The sequence below is a fragment of the Homo sapiens genome, chromosome 10 (assembly GCF_000001405.40).
Source record: "Homo sapiens chromosome 10, GRCh38.p14 Primary Assembly".
Taxonomy (NCBI): domain Eukaryota; kingdom Metazoa; phylum Chordata; class Mammalia; order Primates; family Hominidae; genus Homo; species Homo sapiens.
The window spans coordinates 78,874,983-78,895,768 of NC_000010.11; the positions used below are offsets into that span (position 1 = coordinate 78,874,983).

General features: G+C 41.2%; 1 annotated feature.

The window, feature by feature from the left end:
- Positions 317–965: an enhancer, noted in NCBI's record as "OCT4-NANOG hESC enhancer chr10:80635056-80635704 (GRCh37/hg19 assembly coordinates)". NCBI's record gives its function as "activates a minimal SCP1, AML or CMV promoter by ChIP-STARR-seq in naive H9 embryonic stem cells {active_cell/tissue: H9 hESC(naive)}" and the evidence as "EXISTENCE:reporter gene assay evidence [ECO:0000049][PMID:30033119]".

Consider the following 20,786-nt stretch of genomic DNA (forward strand, 5'->3'; position numbering starts at 1 on the left):
GAGAACTGGAGCCCCAAATGCACTAGGCATCTCTCCACCTCCCTCATCTCTCTTCTCTTCGTGTGGCCTATTCTTCCTCAGTAAAGACTCACCCTCTCCCCAAGACAGCAAGCATGACCTCCCCCAGCTCCCAAGTGTCACATCTTACAGCTCAGTGCCCTGCAGAGGAGCTGCCTCTCTTTTCAAGTCCTAAGACCAAGGTGTCAGAGAAGGTTTCTGGCCCAGTTTGATGCTGGCCATCTTACGTTTACAGTTAGGATTATGGTTAGGGTTCAAGTTAGGGTTAGAGTTAGGGTTAGGGTTAAGAGTTCCTGAGATAACTGTCTGTGAAATTGATGGGGGCAGGGGGAGTGGAGGGAGGTTAAGGGGACTGGGGAATGAACCCAAAGATGCAAAGAGTTCTCTCTTGAGCATAGACCTCATCAGATTCATCCCCACATCACCCAGCACAATTAGCCACACTCAGCACACATTAGGCACTACAAGCATACAGCTGGTTCTGGACAGGATATGTGTCAATCAATCAAGCATTCTAGCAAATTGCCTCTTATTTCTTCACATGCTGGGGGAACCCACCATTTCAAATAACCCTGTTAAATTCCTCTGTGAAGCAGGCTTTCTTTAGCTAAATGCTCACAGCAGGATTTGCTTAAAATGGGGCATGCCTGTAGTCTCAGTTCCTGGGGGAAACCTTTGATTTGCCTGACAACCCACTGAGATAGGCAAGGATGCTACAAGGGCAAATGGTTAGTGGCTGTGAAAGCTTTCCATGACCTTTAAGTGGTATAGAAATGTGGGACCTCACCGTGACTATTATGATTATCCTTATTTCGTCTCTTCTTTGAAGAGCTTTACACTGTAATTTTGGAAGTGGAATTGGAGACACTTCTCCAACAATTCAACCTCATACTACTCCACCAGAGCTCAGTCCTGGGTCTCAGAGCATCATTTCTCACTGGCCTATCGCTTCTATTAAATGCAACATAAAGAGGTTTCCACAGCCAGAGGCCTTCTTGGATGGGAATAAAGGCAGGCACCAAGGCAGGGGCTTCTGAGGAACGTTTAAGCATCACTAAACTACTCCCAGCATAGCCCTTTCTACCCCAAACGTAGTGCTTCCTGGGACACCTAACTCTATGCACAGCCCTGAGCTGGATGCTGGTTTCCCAGGAAGCTCACAGTTTGGGGGGAGGCAGTACATCTAGCTGTCTGTGACTCCAGGCAGCAGAGGGACGGAGAATCCCCAGGGCAGGGGACTAGGAAGATGCTGTGGAAAGGACCCCAGGTCTGACCTTGGGAGAAAGGTGATGAGCAATCTAATGATGCAGCCAACCCTGGCAATCTCAAGCCTTCCCCAACTAACACCTGGTTTCTAGGCCTCTTGCAGCTGCACAAGGGTCCTCATCGTTTTTCCCCAAAATTATTTTTCTTCCCTACCTTTTTTCTCCCTTTCTTCAGATTCTCTCTCCTTACTTCCTGGTTTCTCTCCCTGCCTTCAAAGTCCACCTCTATCCCAACCACTCTCTCATACTCGGTCTTCTGCAGAGACCCCTCCCCTCTGTCTTCACTTGCTCTGCTGGGCCACAATAAAATGTACTTAGCTCATAGAGCTTTTGTCATAAATCTGTCTCTCTGGAGGCTCAATCATTTTTATTGCTCTACTGTGAACATCCTGTCATTCTTCTCCATGTTTCAGACATTGGCAAGCTTGGAACTCACAGCATTTTTCCCGGATACTTCTCACTGGAGACCTGCCGATTGCTTTCTGCCTTTGCACTGTGAGGCCTCCCCAGACAATTATCTTAATCCCATCATGACTTTGGCAGTCACCCCAAAAAAGCAGTTAGGGTCAAAATCCGTATTATTAACTGGGAGTCTCTTGGGACCTTAGCACTCCCATCCTTCCTTCCTCCTCATTCCCATTGCCAGCAGGTCTCCAGGAGCCCAAGAAACCATGGCTGAACAAAAAATGGTGTGGATGGCCACTCTGAAGCCCCTCACCCCAGAGGGGGCTGAGACTCTAATATGTCAGAGAAAATGCTGCACTGGAGTCAAGAGGCTTTGCAATACTTACGATACATAAAAACGTTGGAGAATAGGCAATAGTGATCAAAAGGAAATGAAACCTTTTGGGGGTGGGTTATATATGACAATTGTAAATACACATGGATTGTCTGAAGTCCATGAACTCAATGGAAAGAATACAGGTCATTAGGGCCTTGAGGATGTGCCAACAAAAGGGGGAAAAGGAAAAGTGGGTCTGACTGTTTTTATTCTTGCCATCTCAGGACTGAAGTGGGCTGTGAACCCATTGGACACAAGGATTCCAATATAGGTTTGTCTGTTCCTGTACCTTTCCCATTTCCCTGTTTTATAATAAACTATCAGATGAGAAAAACTACACATAAATGCGGTTATTCAAACTTGGATGAGAACCAACTATGGTCTAATTAGTTCTACCTTAGAGAAAAGTCCAGGGAAGAGTTTGGGAAAGATTTGTGCTATGGACAAAGAAGGAAGTCAAATAAAAGTATGTAGGAGTTCGTCAGGCCTAAATGAAATCTTTGCACTCCAGAGACCATGGTTTTACCCACTAACTTGGATTGAAATTAGCCTAGATTATAAGTCATGTGGTCACACATCCACACTGTCCTGCCCATTCTACTGATTGGCATCACTGCCTGGGAGAACCTTGGTCCAGGAGGCCAGTATCAGTCAGCTTAGTTGCAGAACTCTTTTATCAGTTTGATGCTTAGATGCCCTATCTGCCGACTTATTGCCAAAGAGGGTTGGACTCTCCTGGAGGGGGATTAGTTGGAGTAGAGCAGGGAGTAAATACGTACAATTCACTTATTCCTTCAAATCATTATGGAGAATCTACTGTGTGCCACTCACTATTCTAGGAATGAGGGATACAAAAGTGAGCAAAACTAACACACTTACAAAAAATCCCTGCTTTCATGGTGTTTAGTTCCCAGGATATTTTCTTTTTTTTTTTTTATTTTTTTGAGATGGAGTCTCTCCCTGTCACCCAGGCTGGAGTGCTGTGGCACAATCTCGGCTCACTGCAGCCTCCGCCTCCCTCCTGGTTCAAGCAATTCTCCTGCCTCAGCCTCCCAAGTAGCTGGGACTACAGGTGCGCGCCACTGTGCCCGGCTAATATTTGTATTTTTAGTTGAGACAAGGTTTCACCATATCGGCCAGGTTGGTCTCAAACTCCTGACCTCGTGATCCACCCGCCTCAGCCTCCCAAAGTGCTGGGATTACAGGCGTGAGCCACCGCGCCCGGCCAGTTCCCAGGATATTTTCTAAAATCAGATGACCCCCAAAGGTAAAATTGAAAGTTTGTTCTTCCTTATATCTGTTCCTCTCCCTTTGCACTCCCAGCTATAGAATCATTGATACAATACAACACCAAACCCTTAAAATGTAATTCAAAGTAAAAGATAAATAGGTTTTAGCAAAAGTGGGGACACTGTTCAGTCAAATCCACTCACTATTTCTTTTTTTTTTTTGAGACGGAGTCTCACTTTGTTGCCCAGGCTGGAGTGCACTGGCACAATCTCAGCTCACTGCAACCTCCACATCCCAGGCTCAAGCAATTCTCCCTGCCTCAGCCTCCCGAGTAGCTGGGACTACAGGCGCCTGCCACCACATGTGGCTAATTCTTTTAGTAAAGATGGGGTTTCACCATGTTGACCAAGCTGGTCTTGAACTCCTAACCTCAGGTGATCCACCCTCCTTGACTCCCAAAGTGCTGGGATTACAGGCGTGAGCCACCATGCCTGGCCCCACTCAGTATTTCATAGTGAAGAACTAAACAGCAGTTTCTGTTAGGTATAAACAAGATTAAATCAATTAGCACAATAACCATGCAAATATTTTCAGAAAAGAAAAGAACAAACCAAATTTTAAAAACTCCAGTCTGGAGGAAAATAAATTAAAATTCAAATAACAGAGAACATTTCCCCCATTATGATGAAGCCTAATTTTAAAAAAAAAACAAATAAGTGTATCAAAATAAGGGCCTAAAGACAAGATGATAAAGCAATAGAACAACAACTACTACTTCCAGCCAAAATGAAAGCACAGGGAATAGATTTATCCTCCTACCTGAAATAACCAAAAAATAAATAAATAAAATATATGAAACAATGGTTTTCAAGACATGGGACAGGTGACAAAGGACAGTCATTCCTAAAAGATGGGGAACAAATAAGATGAGTCTTACAATTGCCCCAGGATACTGCCTGGAGAGAGATTCCAGGCCTGGAAATAGTTCCTGTCCTTACCAGTCAGAACTCACAAGTCTGACTTCTGACTTAAATAGAGTACTTAAAAAGGATTCTGCTTTATTATTTGGGCAAAATTAGCTTAAGACTAAATGTTGCTCTGGTCATACCTAACAAAGCTTAGAAGCAAGACCTGATAGGATTGAGTTTCGAAAACACTCAGCTGCATTTCAGAACAACGTTCAATAGTATACGTAGGAATATAAAACTATGTGGCACTCAATAAGATAAAGTTTAAAAGGTCTAGAAACTGATCAAAAATTGTCAAAGAAGCCAGTGAAAGAAATCCATATTAAAGAGAAAATTTGATCAATCAGAACTGATCTAGAAATGATACAGATAATAGAATTTGTATATAAGAACATGAAAGCAGTAATTATAACTGTATTCTGTGTGTTCAAGAAACTGAAGTAAAAAGATATGGAGACTGGTGATATTTTTAAAAAAGACCAAAATCAGACTTCTAGAGATAAAAACTACAATGTCTAAAATGAAAAGTACATTAGATGAGATTAACAGCAGATAAATCATCACAAGAAAAAGCTCCATAAACTTTAAAATATAGAAATAGAACCTATTCAAACTTAAACACGAAGAAATAATACTAAAAAAATATATAAGGCGTGACTAAGCCGTGGGACAAACTCAAGCAACCTAGTAGATGTGTAATTGGACTCTGATAAGGAAGTAGAAGGGAGTATTTGAAGAGTCAATAATGGCCACAACATAGATACATTTGACAAAAACTATAATCACACAATTCAAGAAGTTCAACAAACTCCAAGCACAGAAAACATGAAGAAAAATACACCAAGCTGCATGGTAATAAAATTGCTTAAAATCAGTGATAAAGAGAAATTCTAAAAGCAGCCAGATATGAGGCAAGAGTACATTATTTATAGAGAAATAAAGAAAATGACAGATTTCTTATATGAAACAATGTGAACCAAAAGAGATGGAGCAACATCTTTAAAGTACTGAAAAAAGGAACTGCCAATTTATAATTCTACACTGCAAAATTATCCTTTGAAAGGAAGACAAAGTAAAGACTTTTTCAGACAAACAAAAGCAGAAGGATTCATCACAATTTGATGTTTCTACAGCATATAGGGAGAAAAAAACCATTCAGGCAGAAGGAAAATGACACCATAAAGAAATTGTGATCTGCACAAAGAAATAAAGTGTACTGGAAATGATAAATGATAACTAATATTTTTTCTAATAATAAAATACTTTCTTCTCATTATTTAAATCTATTTAGAAGACAATTGACTGTTAAAACAGAACTAATCACAATGTATTATGTGATAAGTTACAGATGTGTATACTACAAACCCTAAAAGCAAGAATAAAGCAAGACTGAAATAACAAAATAAGTAGATAAAGAGGCATGGGTAATAAGGCAACAAGGTGATAAAATAAAATAATAAAAATGCTCAGTTAATTCAGAAGAAGGCAGATAAAAAGATTTTGAAAAAGAATAAAATAGGAGAAATCACTCATCAGATGTTAAGATTTGTTATCTCACTAAATTAAGATAGTGGGTACCGGCAGAGAGATGGACACATGGATCAATGGAATGAGGAATTAAAAAATAGAGCCACGCGTATACATCCAGCTAATTTTATTTATTTATTTTTTTTTGAGATGGAGTCTCACTCTGTTGCCCAGGCTGGAGTCCAGTGGTGCAATCTCGGCTCACCACAACCTCCGCCTCCCAGGTTCAAGCAATTCTCCTGCCTCAGCCTCCTGAGTAGCTGGGATTACAGGCACACATCACCATGCTCGGCTAATTTTTGTATTTTTAGTAGAGACGGGGTTTCACCATGTTGGTCAGTCTGGTCTTGAACTCCTGACCTTGTGATCTGCTTGTCTCAGCCTCCCAAAGTGCTGGGATTATAGGTGTGAGCCACCGCACTCAGCCTATGTCCAACTAATTTTTGACAAAACTGAAAGAGCAATGCAATAGGGGAGGAATAGCCTTTTAGACAAATGCACCTGGAGCAACTGACATTTCTGGGCAAAATAAATAAATAAATAAATAAATATTTAAAAATAAAACTGAACCTGAATCTCACATCCTTTATAAAAATTAACTCAAAATAGAATACAGATTTACATATGAAATGTAAAACTGTAAACCTTTAGGGAAAAAAACACAGGAGGCAATCTTCAGCATGTAGAATTAAGTAATATGTTTTTAGACTTGACACCAAAAGCATGATCCATAGAAAATATTGATAAGTTGGATTTTACCAAAATTTCAAAACTTTTTCTCTGTGAAAGACATTGTAATGACAATAAAAATACAAATTACACACTGGGAGAAAATATTTACAAATTGCACATACAACAAAGAACTTGTATCTAAAATGTGTAAAGAACCCTCAAAGCCCAATATTTTTTAAAAATCTACTTAGAAAATAGACCCTCCAAAAAATGATCAGATATCTTATTGAAGAGGATATATGAATGGTTAATAGACACATGAAGAAATGTTTCACATGATTAGCCATTGGGGAAATGTAAATAAAAACCATGAGATATTACTACCTACCTACTAGAATGGCTATAATAAAAAATTAGTGATAACGCAAAATGTTAATGAGCGTATAGAGAAACTAAACAGTGCTTTTATTGCTGATGGCAGTGTAAAATGATACAGCCACCCTGGAAAAACAGTTTAGTCTTTTCTTTCAAAACCAAATAAGGGTTACCATACAACACAGCAATTGCATTCTTGGGCAATTTCATCCCAGAGCAATGGGAACTTATCCCACAGAAACCAGTACACAAATGTTTGTGGCAGCTTTAATCATAATAGGCAAAACCTTTAAAACTCAAGTGTCCTTCAGTAGGTGAGTGATCAACAAACTGTGGTACATCCATACCATGGAATATTACACAGCAAATAAATAAATATAAAGAAATTTGTTAAAACTTTTAACAGTAAGAAACTAGGAATGCAAAAAACAACTTGAATGAAATTCAGAAAAATTATATTGATGAAAAAAGCCAATCTCATGGGGATAGGTACTGTCTGACTCCATTTGTATGACATTTATAAAATATCATCATTGTAGAAACAGAGAACAGATTAATGGCTGTTGGGGGTTAAGGGTGAGGGGAAGGGCAGGGCGTGGCTGTAGATGAGTAACATAAGGGGAGCTCGTGGTCATGATACAGTTGTATGTTTTGATTGTGGCAGCAGTTGCATGAAGCAACACGTGATAAAATTGCATAGAGGCACACACACACACACATGAGTGCATGTATAAATGGTAAAATTTGAATGAATTCTAAATCATACCAAGGTCAATTTCCTGGTTTCAATATTATACTATTCAAGATTCTATATTAATATTCAAGATAGTAACATTGAGGGAGACTGAGTGGAGGATGCAGGGATCTCCTTGTACATTTCTTTGTAACTTCCTGTGAATCTGTTTATTTCAAAATAAAATTTAAAAGGAAAAAAAGAGTAAAGCGGGGGAAAGAACAGATGGGATGAATAGACTGTAAAGAGGAAGACAGTTGATTCAAACCCAACCATGTCAGTAATCACATTATGTGCAAAAGGTCTAAACTCTCCAGATAAAGAGAAATTGTCAGACTCAATGAAAAAAAGCAAGATCCAATATATGCTACCTACAAGAAATCCACTTTACATATAAAGACATAAATAAGTTAAAAATAAAAGGATAAAAACAAACACTAGTCGTAAGAAAGTTGAAGTGACTCTATTAAAATCAGACAAAATAGATTTCAGAGCAAAGAATGCTACCAAAGAAAAGAGGATCATGTCTTAATGATGACAGGGTCAATTAATCAAAAGGACATACAAATTCTAAACACTTACACACATAATAACAGAGCTTCAAATATGAAGCACAGACTGATAGACCTTCCAGAGAAATAAACAAATCTGCAATTATAGTCAGAAATTTTATACTGTCTCAATAGTTAGTAGAACAAGTACACATAAAACTAACAGAGAGAGAAGACACTGAAAATATTATCAACTAACTTGACCTTATGACATTTAAAGAACACTCCACCAACAGAAGAATGCTCATTCTTTTCAAGTACGTATAAAACACTTACCAATACAGACCCTATTCTGGACCAAAAAATGTCTCAATAAATTTTAAAGGATTTAAAGTATGTTTTATGGTTACAATGGAATTAAATAAGAAACAGGCTACAGAAATATCTAAAAATCCCCCAATATACTGAAATTAAATAATGCATTTTAAAACGATCTATTGGTCTAAGAACAAAAGAAAATTAGTAAGATGAGAATAAAAACACAAACTTCCAGAAAATTGAAGAAAGAACCCTTAAAATGACATTTCTAGAAAATAAAATGATACATTATTATCTTTTATGAACATAAATGCAAAACTTTATAACAAAAATTTTATCAAACTGAATCCAATAATATGCAAAAGGGATCACGCATCACGATTGGTGAGGTTTATGCCAGGAATGCAAAGTTGGTTTAACATTTAAAAAGCAATCACCAGGTTAACAAACTGAAAAGAAAAAAGAAAAAAACAGTATCATCTCAATACATACAGAAAAGATATTGACTAAATGCAATATCCATACCTGATAAAAATCTATAGCAAAGTATCAACAGGAGGGGATATCCTCAACCTGACAAAAAGCATCAACAAAAAAACTTACTGCTAACACTATACTAAGTGGTGCAAGACTGAATGCTTCCCCTTAAAACCAGGAACAAGTTGAGATTTTCCGCTTTCATTGCTTTCTTTCAATATTGTCCTATAGGTTCTCATCAATGCAATAAGGCAAAAAAAGAAAAGAAATAAATGGCATCTAGATTGGAAAGGAAGAAGCAAAACTGTCATTAAGTGAAGATGACTTAACAGTCTATGTAGAAAATCTGGTAGAAAGAAAACCTACTAGAACGAATAAGTGAATTTAGTTACAAAATATAAGACCAATGTTCAAAATTCAATGTATTTCTATTTACTAACAACAAACAATAGAAAATAGAAGTTTAAAAATATTATTTGTAATAACAAAAAATATGAAATGTTTAGAGAAAAAATCTGAGGAATTGTGCAAAACATATATAAACTGAAAGCTACAAACATTGCTGAGAGAAATTAAAGGAGACAAATAAATGCAGAAAGACACTTACCAAAGGAGATACATGAGGGGCTACTATGCACATGAAAAGATGCTCAGCACCATTAGAGAAACTCAAATTAAAACCACAATGAGATACAACTACACACCTATTCAAACATCCATAATTGAAAAGATTGACCATATCAAGTATTGGCAAGAATGTGAAGTAAAAAAATCTCAAACGCTACCAGTAGGAAGGTAAAATGGTACTTCCACTTTTAAAAACAGTTTGGAAGTTTCTTAGAAAAGTTAAATATATATCCACTATATGACCTAGCCATTCCACTCCTAGGCGTTTCCCAGGGGAAGTGAAACTTTATATCCATACAAATAATTATACATTAAAGTTTGCAGCAATTTTACTTATAATAACCCAAAATTATAAACAATCCAAATGTCCACCAACAGGTGAATATATAAGCAAATTGTGGTATATCCATATGATGGAATACTATTTAGCAATAAAGAGGGATGAGGCTGGGTGTGGTGGCTCATGCCTCTAATCCCAGCTCTTTAGGAGGCTGAGGTGGGTGGATCACCTGACGTCAGGAGTTTGAGACCAGCCTGACCAATTTGGAGAAACCCCGTCTCTATTAAAAATATAAAATAATTAGCTGGGTGTGGAGGCACATGCCTGTAATCCCAGCTACTCAGGAGGCTGAGGCAGGAGAATCACTTGAACCCAGGAGGTGGAGGTTGCGGTGAGCTGAGATTGCGCCATTGCACTCCAGCCAACAAGAGCGAAACTCCGCCTCAAAAAATAAAAAAGGGATGAATTATTGAAACACACAGTAACATGGATGAATCTCAAAATAATTATGCTCAGTGAAAGAAGCCAGACCTCCCTCCACCAACTATATGTACGTGATTGGGGGTGGTGATGGGGGAAGAGAATAATTCCATTTCTATAAAACTCTAACCTATAGTAACAGAAATCAGATTCACGGTTGCCTGAGGGGAGGGCTAGTGGAAGGGAGGAGCAAGAAGGCGGGATTATCAGGAAGCACAAGGAGACTTTGGGGAGCACTGCATATGTTCATTACATCAATTGATTTATTGTTTTTATGAGGTATTCGTATGCCAAAGTTTATCAATTTGTCACTTTAAATCCATACAGCTGTTTGTATGTCAATTATATCTCTATAAAGCTATTTTTAAAAGCAAAGAGCAATAGGAAAAGGGAGCTCCAGAGCCAACAAAACAAAATGAGAGCAAACAATATAATAATGTTAGTGAATCAATAAATAAATCATAAAAAATTAAGAACGTAATAAACATAGATGAAAAATTAATTCCTGAGGTCAGGGAAAGATTTGAAAATATGCCACCAAGTTGTACAACACCAGGGAGCCCCATTCACATCATCTTAGCCCCTAATGTGAACAGAGCACACTGGGGTTACACAGCCCACAGCCCTCACGTCCCTATGCGACACCTCTGCTGCAGATGAGCACAGTGAAGGCACAGGACAAACACAAGAAGGTCAAAGAACATAGTGGGATGTTCATGGATTTGGAGGACAAAATTGACCTTCTATTAAAATAACTGATGCTTTCATACTAGAAAGCATAATAGATGAAACAGAAATATAATAAAGATAGAAATCTTAAATTCATGAAAAGAGAAATAATGGGATTTGCTGATTAAAAAGCACACTGTTCCCAAGGGGCTTGGGAATGGGAGGCAGGGAGATGGTACAGAAAAATCAACATCAAGACATAACCTAGTAATACTGTTGAACTTTAAGAACAAGGAAATAACTCTTCAGGAGTCAGAGTAGAAAAGGAAGTGATCAGTAAACCAAGCTGTACTCAGAATCTTTGGTAACAATTCCAGAAGACAGTGGAGGAATATATTCAAAATTCTGATGGAAAGAAAATGTATACCAATATTATTATACCCAGCCAAGATGTCATTCAAGAATAGAGGCCACTGAAAGATATCTCTACATATGAAAAAATTGAAGGAATTATAGTACTCATGATCTCTTGCAGAAAAGCTATTTGTTGATGAAATTCAGCTAGTAGTGGTAGAAATTCAGTGGTAGAGACTATTGTCCCCCCAGTGGGTGTTTCCTTCTTCTTCAGTCACAAGAACTCTGATATTTTCCTGGGCTCATTCTCACCCACCTATAAGACCACCTTCCATAGCCTCCCTTGCAATTAGCTATGGTCAAGTAATGAAGTCTTAGCCAATGGTGTGTAAGCAGAAGTTATGTATGCCACCAGCAGGAAGTCTAATTAAAAGGAAGGAAGCTTTCATCCATCCTGTTGCCTACAAGGCAGATGGGATGGGTAGAGTTTTAGCACCATCCATCTTAAACCATGAGAACAAAGCCTGAACCAAACGTTGGTAGAGAAGTTAACTAAAAGGAATTAGACTGTCAGGTGATTTTGTGGATCTTCCAAACCTTCCCTAGACTGCTACCTCCAAACTTATTTTATGGGAAAAAGAAATAAGCTTTTATTTGGCTGAAGCCACCATTTGTTGTTGTTAGACACAGTGGAATCAAACTCTGACCAATACATCAGTCAACTAACAGATACATCGAAACAAACTTTACATGGGTCTAGTGAAGGAAGCTGTGGATGAGAAGGACTAGTTTTAAGCTGAGTCTATTAAATTTTTCCCTAAGACTTAAAAACAGACATAATTGTGCCTACAGAAGAGATAGAGATGTTATACAGTCTAAAATGTAAAAATAATAATATAAGTAACAACATCAGCAATGAGAAGAGAGAGATGGGAGAAGTGTAGGGGTGCTGTCCTCATCTTTCTGAGCAGGACATCAATAAATACTGTATAAATTTAAAATATGTCATTTAAAACTGGCTACTGGCTCCAACCTCCTCATATTTTCTGTAATCCCTTAGAGGGAATCTGTTAGAAAATAATACCATCTTGTGCTGAAGAAATATTTATCTAAATAGATCATTCCTTCCATTTCACTTTAGTTTCTTTTTCTTCCTTTAAGTGAAAATAAAATTTAATTTTAAAACTTTATATTAAGTATCTCAGGTTATATAACTCCACCTATATGTTCGTGTCTATATAGACTTCTATCAGGATATGCATATGGGTTGATTTCTGGGGATCACATCTTGTGGGGATTATCTTTTTCTTAGTAGTCTTTTTAATTTCTTGAATTCTTTATAATGAGCATGTTTTATGTTTTTTTTAACATCAATGGGTTTAAAGTGAATATTCTGCTTTACTCATCTAATAAAATTACCCCAGGCATCCTTCAAAGTCACTGATTAATATTTCATAGCTGGGTGTACTTTTTATTTAAACATGCCCTTATACACGAACATTCAGGTTTTTTAAACATCTTACCTCACTTTCTTACATCATGATTTCCTGATGTAAGATTTGCAAAATCTAGATTTCTAAAAACAGGCTTTTTGATTATAATTGTATGTCAATTTTATCTCTATAAAGCTATTTTTAAACATATCCTTGTACATGAACACTCAGGTTTTTTAAACACTTAAATGTTAATAGTGAAAAGATTGTGCCCTAATTACACATCTACCCAGCATGTATAAGAGTGCACACTTTCCCTCAACAGGAATGAATGCTACCAACACTTTTAGATTTTTGTCCATGTGGTTTAAAAACTGATATTTTGTTATTTTAATTTTAATTTCCTTGATTATTTGTTATGATGGCTTTTTTTTTTCCAAGTTATTGGTTATTTGAGGCTTTCCCTTGTCCATTTAGCGCCTAGGTTATTTGTCTTTTTCCAATCAATTTGTAAAAAGCTTCTTCTAGAGAAAGGCTATCAATTTTTTGTAATATATGTTATAAATCTCTACTTCCAACATCTATCATATGTCTTTTGACTTTGCTTATGATATCTATTTCCAGACATAAGTGTTTAATTTTTATGTGGCATATATTACTCCTTTCATAATAGTGAGGTCATTTTTCTAATGCTCAAAACAAAGAAAAAAAAAAGCAATGTCCCTGCTCCATTGCATTCCCCCCACCCCACCCTTAATTGTTTTTTTTTGTTGTTGTTGTTTTTTTCTTGAGACAGGGTCTCACTCCATCACCCGGCTGGAATGCAGTGGCACGATCTTGGCTTGCTGCAACTTCCACCTCCTGAGTTCAAGCAATTCTCGTGCCTCAGCCTCCCAAGTAGCTAGGATTACAGTCATGTGCTACCATGCCTGGCTAATTTTTTTGTATTTTTAGTAGAGACAGGGTTTCGCTGTGTTGGTCAGGCTGGTCTCGAACTGCTGGCCTCAAGTTATCTGCCAACCTTGGCCTCCCAAAGTGCTGGGATTACAGGTGTGAGCCACTGCGCCCGGCCCCACCCTTAGCTTTTAATGTCCTCACTTCCCAGTGCTTAGTAAGCCCTTAGAGATGACCCCACACACAGCAGTAGTGAGGCTGTCCCATCCTGCTGGGGACACTGGATCCCTCACAAGGGCAATCTGCTCATAGTTACTGTCTCCTACACATCAGGTTGCCTCTTGTCTCTGAGCTTTGCCCCAGCTATTCCCCAGTCTTGGCCAAAGTCCACTTTAGCCTAAGGCTCTGTCCTCTAGGGAGGCTTCCCTGAATACCACCTACCTGTACACCAGGCTAGAGGACTTTCTCCTGGGATTCATCATCTTCTGCCTGCTGGTGTCCAGCTAGTGTGCACCTGGAAGCCCCCTGATGCATTGATTGGTCACAACCTGTGCCTTACCTGCTGTTATTTATTTGTAATATCACTCCTGACCAGAGCGCATCTCTACTACCCTCATTATAATATTCTTTAGTTATCCGTCTCTAGTCACTGTGCCCTGGACCACCAGCTTCTTGAAGGCAGAGTTCTGTCTTGTTCTTCTTTGTGTGTCTAACTGCAGCACAGTGAGATGAAAGGATGAATGAAAGAGGAAAGTCCCCCGGAGGTTGTGACACAGGTATGTCTGGAAAGATTCAGTGAAGGGCAGAGCTGGGACAAGGTGGCTTCTGAAAATTAGTGACAAATATACTTGATGTCTTTAAAAACCCTTACTTTACCTTCCCAGCACCTCTATTTGCAAACACTTCACCATAAAAATAAACAAGACAAAAAACCAAAATAAGACACACACAGGTCATTGTTTCTCCTTTCTAGAATCATGTATGTTCTCAGCTATTCTTATTTTTCAAGTCACTCTCAATTTATCACACCTTTGGAGATCCTGAAGACCACCATGAAAGGACAATATAACCATTGCACAGAAGAGAAGACTAAGCCTGGGAGAGGCCCGAGAAGTGACCAGGACCCTGAGATCTGGCATAATAAATCATAGGCTCGGGATCTGGAAACGACTCGAAGGCAGCTTCTTGTCCAACGCTGTGCCTTCAGATGGATAAGGTACCGGATCTCAAAAGACCATCCCATAATAGCCTCCCCATTTTCTGGTTTGATATTTCAAGTACCTTGGGATACGAGATGCCAGCAATCAGATATGCTCCAGTAATCAGAAGCAAATAGTTCTGCCTGGGAACTTTCAGCAGATTGCCAAATGCCTCCTAATCTGGCCACCTTAATATAAATTGCCCTAAAATATTATTTTCTGAATACACAGTATCCAATAACAAATAGTATCTTTTTGTGAAATTAATTTCAATTTAGCTTTAACTAATACTAAATTGCTATGGAATTACATATTACATACACATTACTACAGAAAGAAGTTCATCATGATTAATGTTATTACAGTGAACACCAAAGGAATTAATAATGATTTGCAGTTATTATAAAGCGGTACTGGTGTAGGAAAAAAGGTTAAGTCTAATTAAATTCTGGCAACCACTTTAGGACTCTGCAGCAATGAGGATGCTGGGTTTTATGTTAATTAATTCTATATGAAAGGTTACTGAAGTGTTTTAATATTGTTCAAAGAGCCACATTTTTACTACCAGTGTGTGTGGTTTGTTGTGGTTTTTTTTTTTTCACAGTGACCTGCTAGCATGGGTAAGGCGTTAAATTCTTGGGAATTGATAGGTGTTGGGAAGCTGGGTGGTTTCTTATTCTGATGTCAGAGCCAGGCTTGGCGCTAGGGCCAGTGTCTCCCAGTTCCCTCCAGCGGCCTGTGCTTGGAAAATGGATGACTTTTCTTTGGAAATGGATCTTGTGATTCCTGAGTTGCTTTCTGGGTTAGACATGGCTCCACAATTATCTTTTCACATGGGTGGAGTGAGCAGCCTAGGCATCCCAGAAGGGGCCCACCTTGCCCAAAATAGGACCCAGGGAACACAGGACCTGATACTTCACTCCTTTGGGTAGCAGCCAGAGGGGCGGAGCTCAGGATTTGGAAGGACCTGAACATTCAGGTTTCATGATGGCTCCTTAACTCATTTCCTTTGTAACTCGAGGCAAGTCATTTAAATTCTGAGTCTGAATTTCCTCAGACTTCACAGTATTGTTTCCAGGATTAAATCAGAAAATAGATAAGAAGGAGAGGTGGGAAGCTCCACAAGCAAACAAATGAGTCCGGTTATTTGTGCCCCTCCCCTGGGTGATGTTCCACTCTTGACATGTCTCATTCCTACACCCAGTCTTACAAGCACCTCAAAGACAGGACCAGACTTGAAATTTAAGTATTGTTTCTATTTCATGCCACCCAGACATTTTAAATCTAATACTTTAGATAGTAAAGTTCGGTGGAAGTTTTTTTATTTTTTTAAGCAGATTTTTCCTATTACTCAATTGTTTAAGTTATCAAAGCACACAAGTTGGTATCTCTGGTTGTTTCATCTCTGCAAGCCAAGAGCATAGCTTAATGCTTGACACAGAGTAAAGGCTCAGTAAATTTTGATAGAAAGAAAGAATGGATGGATGGATGGATGGATGGATGAATGGATAAATGAATATATGGATGGATAGATGAACAGATGGATAGATGGACATTGGATGTATGGATGAATGGATAGCTGAACAGATGGACAGATAGGCATTGGATGGACGGATGTATGGATGTATTGATGGATGGATGGATGGATGGATGAATGGATGGTCATCTGGCCCTGATTTTGCCTTTATGACCCAATTCAGATGTAGCATTTATTATAACCCCATCAAGATCAAATCTGAATCCCAATCATAGCCTTGGTGATTATTCTGACAGTCTTGTGGGCATTGGTGGGAGCAGGGGAGGCTTTGGCAAATCTGCCTTCAACATTTCCTCTCCTGTGTACTGTTCCTCACACCCAAATGCCTCTTCATCACCCAGCTTCAACTTGCTACTCAACTGCTCCTTTCTAATGTCATCAACCCTGGGAAGCCTTCCTGGACCACACACCCCAGTCCACAGTGGTCTTTCTCTCCTCTGAGCCCATAGAAATGGAATGCCTAGCCATGGGCTCTCAAACTTAGGAGGCATGAGAATCGCCTGGAGGGCTTGCTACAATACAGATTGTTGGGCCCCACCTTCAGAGTTTTTGATTCCATAGGTATGGGAAGGGGCTTGAGATTTCCATTTTAACAAGTCCCCATATGATGCTCTGGCTGCTGGCCTGGGGACCATACTTTTAGAACATAGAGCTTAGCTCACCAGTCCCTGCAGAACTTGTAGGAAGTAGTAACTTTTTCTTAGAGGAAGGTTATTTCCAGGAAGAACTTTGCTGAGCACTGATATGGCACCTCCTTTCCACCTTGCAGCAATGCCCTGAAAAATGATGGCATTCCCCGCTTCAGTTTTCAGAAGAGGAAGCAGGCCCTCAGAGCGGGAGCAGCTCAGTGAAGGTCACAAAAGCCAGGTCTTCCCCCATTACCCTGTGCTTATGGTCTCCTCAGAAAGGCAACAGCCACACAAAAACAGAGTGATTCTGCCAGGAGCAGTAGCTGATACAGTGAAACCCATGACCTGTGAGCTCTGCACTGTCTCACAGTGGTGAGAGGGCAGTGGAAGGTGAGTGGATTAATTCAGGGTCAAGTGTGGAAAGGACCTGGGGAAGGAGAGTCTAACCCAGGTCACCCAACCAGCTACACCACCCTTGGCAGGTCAATTAACCTCTCTGGGCCTCCGAGGTCATCTTGCCCAAAGCTGTCTTCCTCATTTCCACCTCTGACTTCTATGCACATGCAAGTCAGCTCTGGAGAGCCATGGCCCACCCACATGCCCACCCACATGCCCGCCCACATGCTCGCCCACGTGCTTGAGCAGCTGAGAACCCTGTAGAGTGGGCTTTCCTGGGGGGTGTTATGCTCTCCATGCCACACAGGACAGCCGGGAGGGGCACAGCCCACCTCTTTGGCCCCTTTACATCCCTCAGCATCAGGGGCATCTAATTGTTCCTCCTGTGGCCTTTATAGGGCCAGGGAGGAAGTTACCAGAAGCCTGAAATGCAGACAACCAGTTCCTGATTTAAAGGAAACCTATCGTGTGGGAGGTACTTAAAAAAAAAAAAAAGAAAAGAAAAAAAGAGCCCATGGCTTCTCCAGTGCACTCCACATTTCAGGGCTGTGGTATCAGCCCTGAATTCACTCTGACTCCATTAGCAGCCTGAGCACTGGTGCTGAGACACCCAGACTCTCTGGAACCTTGAGAGAGCATCCCTGGAGAGCTGACTCAGCCTTTTGTCCTCCAGGAGGTAGAGAAATTGGATTCCAAGGCTCAGAGGTTGGCAGGTCTGCATCCAGAGGCAGAGAGATAAAGGACTGCTGCCCAAGTGGTGGGCAGCCCGGGGAGCCCTTTTAGAACAAAGGTGGACTCAGGAAAGGGATGGACAGAGGGAGGGAGGAGGAAGAATTGATTTATTGCCCACAGCTTTGTAGTAGGCACCGTGCCTGCCACATTATTAATCCTAACAACCAGCTTTCAAGGTAAATATTGTTACCCCATGTTTTGCAGTTGTCATGACTGAGGCTCAGACCGTGGAGTGACCTAAGTAACTAGGTGGTCTGGGGCAAGCAATAGAGCATACATTCAGATTCGGATGTGTCTAACCCATGCAGTGCCTCGGGACTGACCACCAAGAAGGAGCTATAAGGAAAGAAAGGCACCATGGTGAGCAGCCCTGAGCCATTGCCTGGTCTCACCGGAGTGGTACATCCCAGGTACCCAGCTGAGGCTTACCAGACCCTGACCCCAGGAACACCTGGTCCCTGCAGAACAACATACGCAACAGAGTGGTGTTTGGGACAGTTTAGATGAGACATTTATCTATAGGCATTTGTCATTATGCAAATCTACAAGTCATATACCTAGGGTTGAGAAGGATTTGGAATTTAATGTCTTCTAGCTGGTGAGGGGTCATAATGACATAAAGAGGTGTTCTGTTTGTTCTTCCCCAAGTCCAGGGGCTCAGTGTGGATGGAAGCGCTCATTCCACTGTTAGCAACACCTGGCTGTGAGCTCAAGACCCCATCATCTTGCATATGGGAGGAAGGATGGAATCAGGGATCCCAGGAGCCACTTTTCACCTGCCTTCCCTCTGCAGATAGAGACTACATCTCTTCAGTCTCCTTCCTAAAATAATGAAAGCTCATGATATGGCTTCACATGCTGAGGGTGTGCTATAACCCAGCCAGTGTGCTATGCAGTGTACACGCCACCATCTCATTTCATCCTTAGCGTGTCCTTCTGAGGCAAATATTCTTCTTACAAACCAAGGCCAGCCCAAGTCACACTGCTAGAAAGTGACAGAGATGGGCTTCAAAGACCTGTCTGCCCAAATCCAAACCCACACCCTTGCCCTTGCAGTCTTTGATCTCCCAAAGGACAACATTGCTGTCAACCTTCCTGTTGTCCCTCTGCAGCCTGGCGTCCAGTCCGTGCTCCCTGCCTGTTTATCTCCTTAAGATATGCCACCACTACCCCTGTAGACAAGCACAGAGCAGGCCCCGGGCCTCCGCCTGCTTACCTGCTGACAGCCCCACCCTGTGGAATTAACCTCCTTTGGCCAGCGCATGGCCCTCCGGGCTCCTAGTGGACTCTCAGCCCAGACTCCCTGATCCTGTACTCATGGAGCTCACAACCTACAGGTAGAGGCCGACACTAAACAGAGACATATCATCACAAACTGCCACTTGTGCTATGAGAGCAGCTAGCAGGGAGGTCTGTTGTGACCCAAAGGTGAGGGAGGGCTGCTGTTTGTGCTGGCCTTTGAGGGTGAGGAGAGCTTCCCCAGGCAGAGGATGTGGAAGGGGGAAAGGGTGTCCCAGGTAGGGGACAGGCACACACAACGGCCAGTGGTGGAAGACATCAAAGCTTTCAAAGGATAAAGGAAGCCAGGTTGGGTAGAGTTTGGAGTTCTGGGAGTGAGAAATGAGAAGAGGCTGCAGAGGTGAGCTGAGGATTTAGGGTTTCCTGAAACCGAAGGGAAGACACTGGCATCTTCCAGTAGGGGTGATGCAGTCGGGTTCATGCCTTTCAAAGGTCTCCACGGCTGCCGGGAGTGGAGGAGGAAGTGCTGCCTATCCACTAGTGCACACAGCAAATCCACAAGGCAGCAAGGTTAGCCGAGGCTCAGAAGTGAGGACTCTGAGGCTCACAGGCATGGATGGGCCAGTCTTATCTTCAAACAAGCACAGATGCAAACAGGCCTGTCCTTTGAAAACTTCCTGCTCTCCAGGAAGCCTTGTTGACTCTCTCCAGCTCACCAGGCTGGCTCACCAGGCTGACTCTCAGCCTCCGGGCAGTTCCAGGTGTGCACCTGTAGTCTCATACTTGGTCCCATCTTCAACTAACCACAGCGAGCTGTGATATCTCTGCCACCTGACTGAGCATCTTGAGGCAAAGATTCTCTTGCTTGACTCCACATCTCCCTCACTCCCATGCTGCTTAGCACAGAGCCTCACAGAGAGGGACCAGGCCAGAGCTGTCCAATAGAACTTTCTGCACTGTCAGTTCAGGAACCACTGGCCACAGGGGCGACTGGGCATTAGATATGTGGCTAGTGCAAATGAGGAACTGGCTTTTTAATGTTATTTTATTTCAATTAATTTAAATTTAAATAGCTACAGGACTCAACACTCCATAAATAGAAAGGGGGGAAGGAAGGAAGTGGAAGGAAGGAAGTGGAAGGGAAGGGAAGGGAAAAGAAGGGAAGGGAAGGATGTTGACCGCAACTCCTACCCGACAACAGCAAGGACAGCTACAGGTTGGTGTCTGGCTGACATTCGAGCACAGCCCCAGGAGGGCCTAAGCCCAAGGAGTCGAGAGAATAGCAAGTGCTTAGAGTCTCAATGCTTAGAACCGCAGCCCCCAGGATGTCAGGCAGAATGGGCCCTTGGAGCCCAGCCCACCCTTCTTGTCCTGCAAATGAGAACTGAGCCCAGAGAAGGGCAGGGACTGGGCCAGGGAGGCCCACAGGAGATGAGCCTCAGAGCACTGTGTCTCTAGGTCC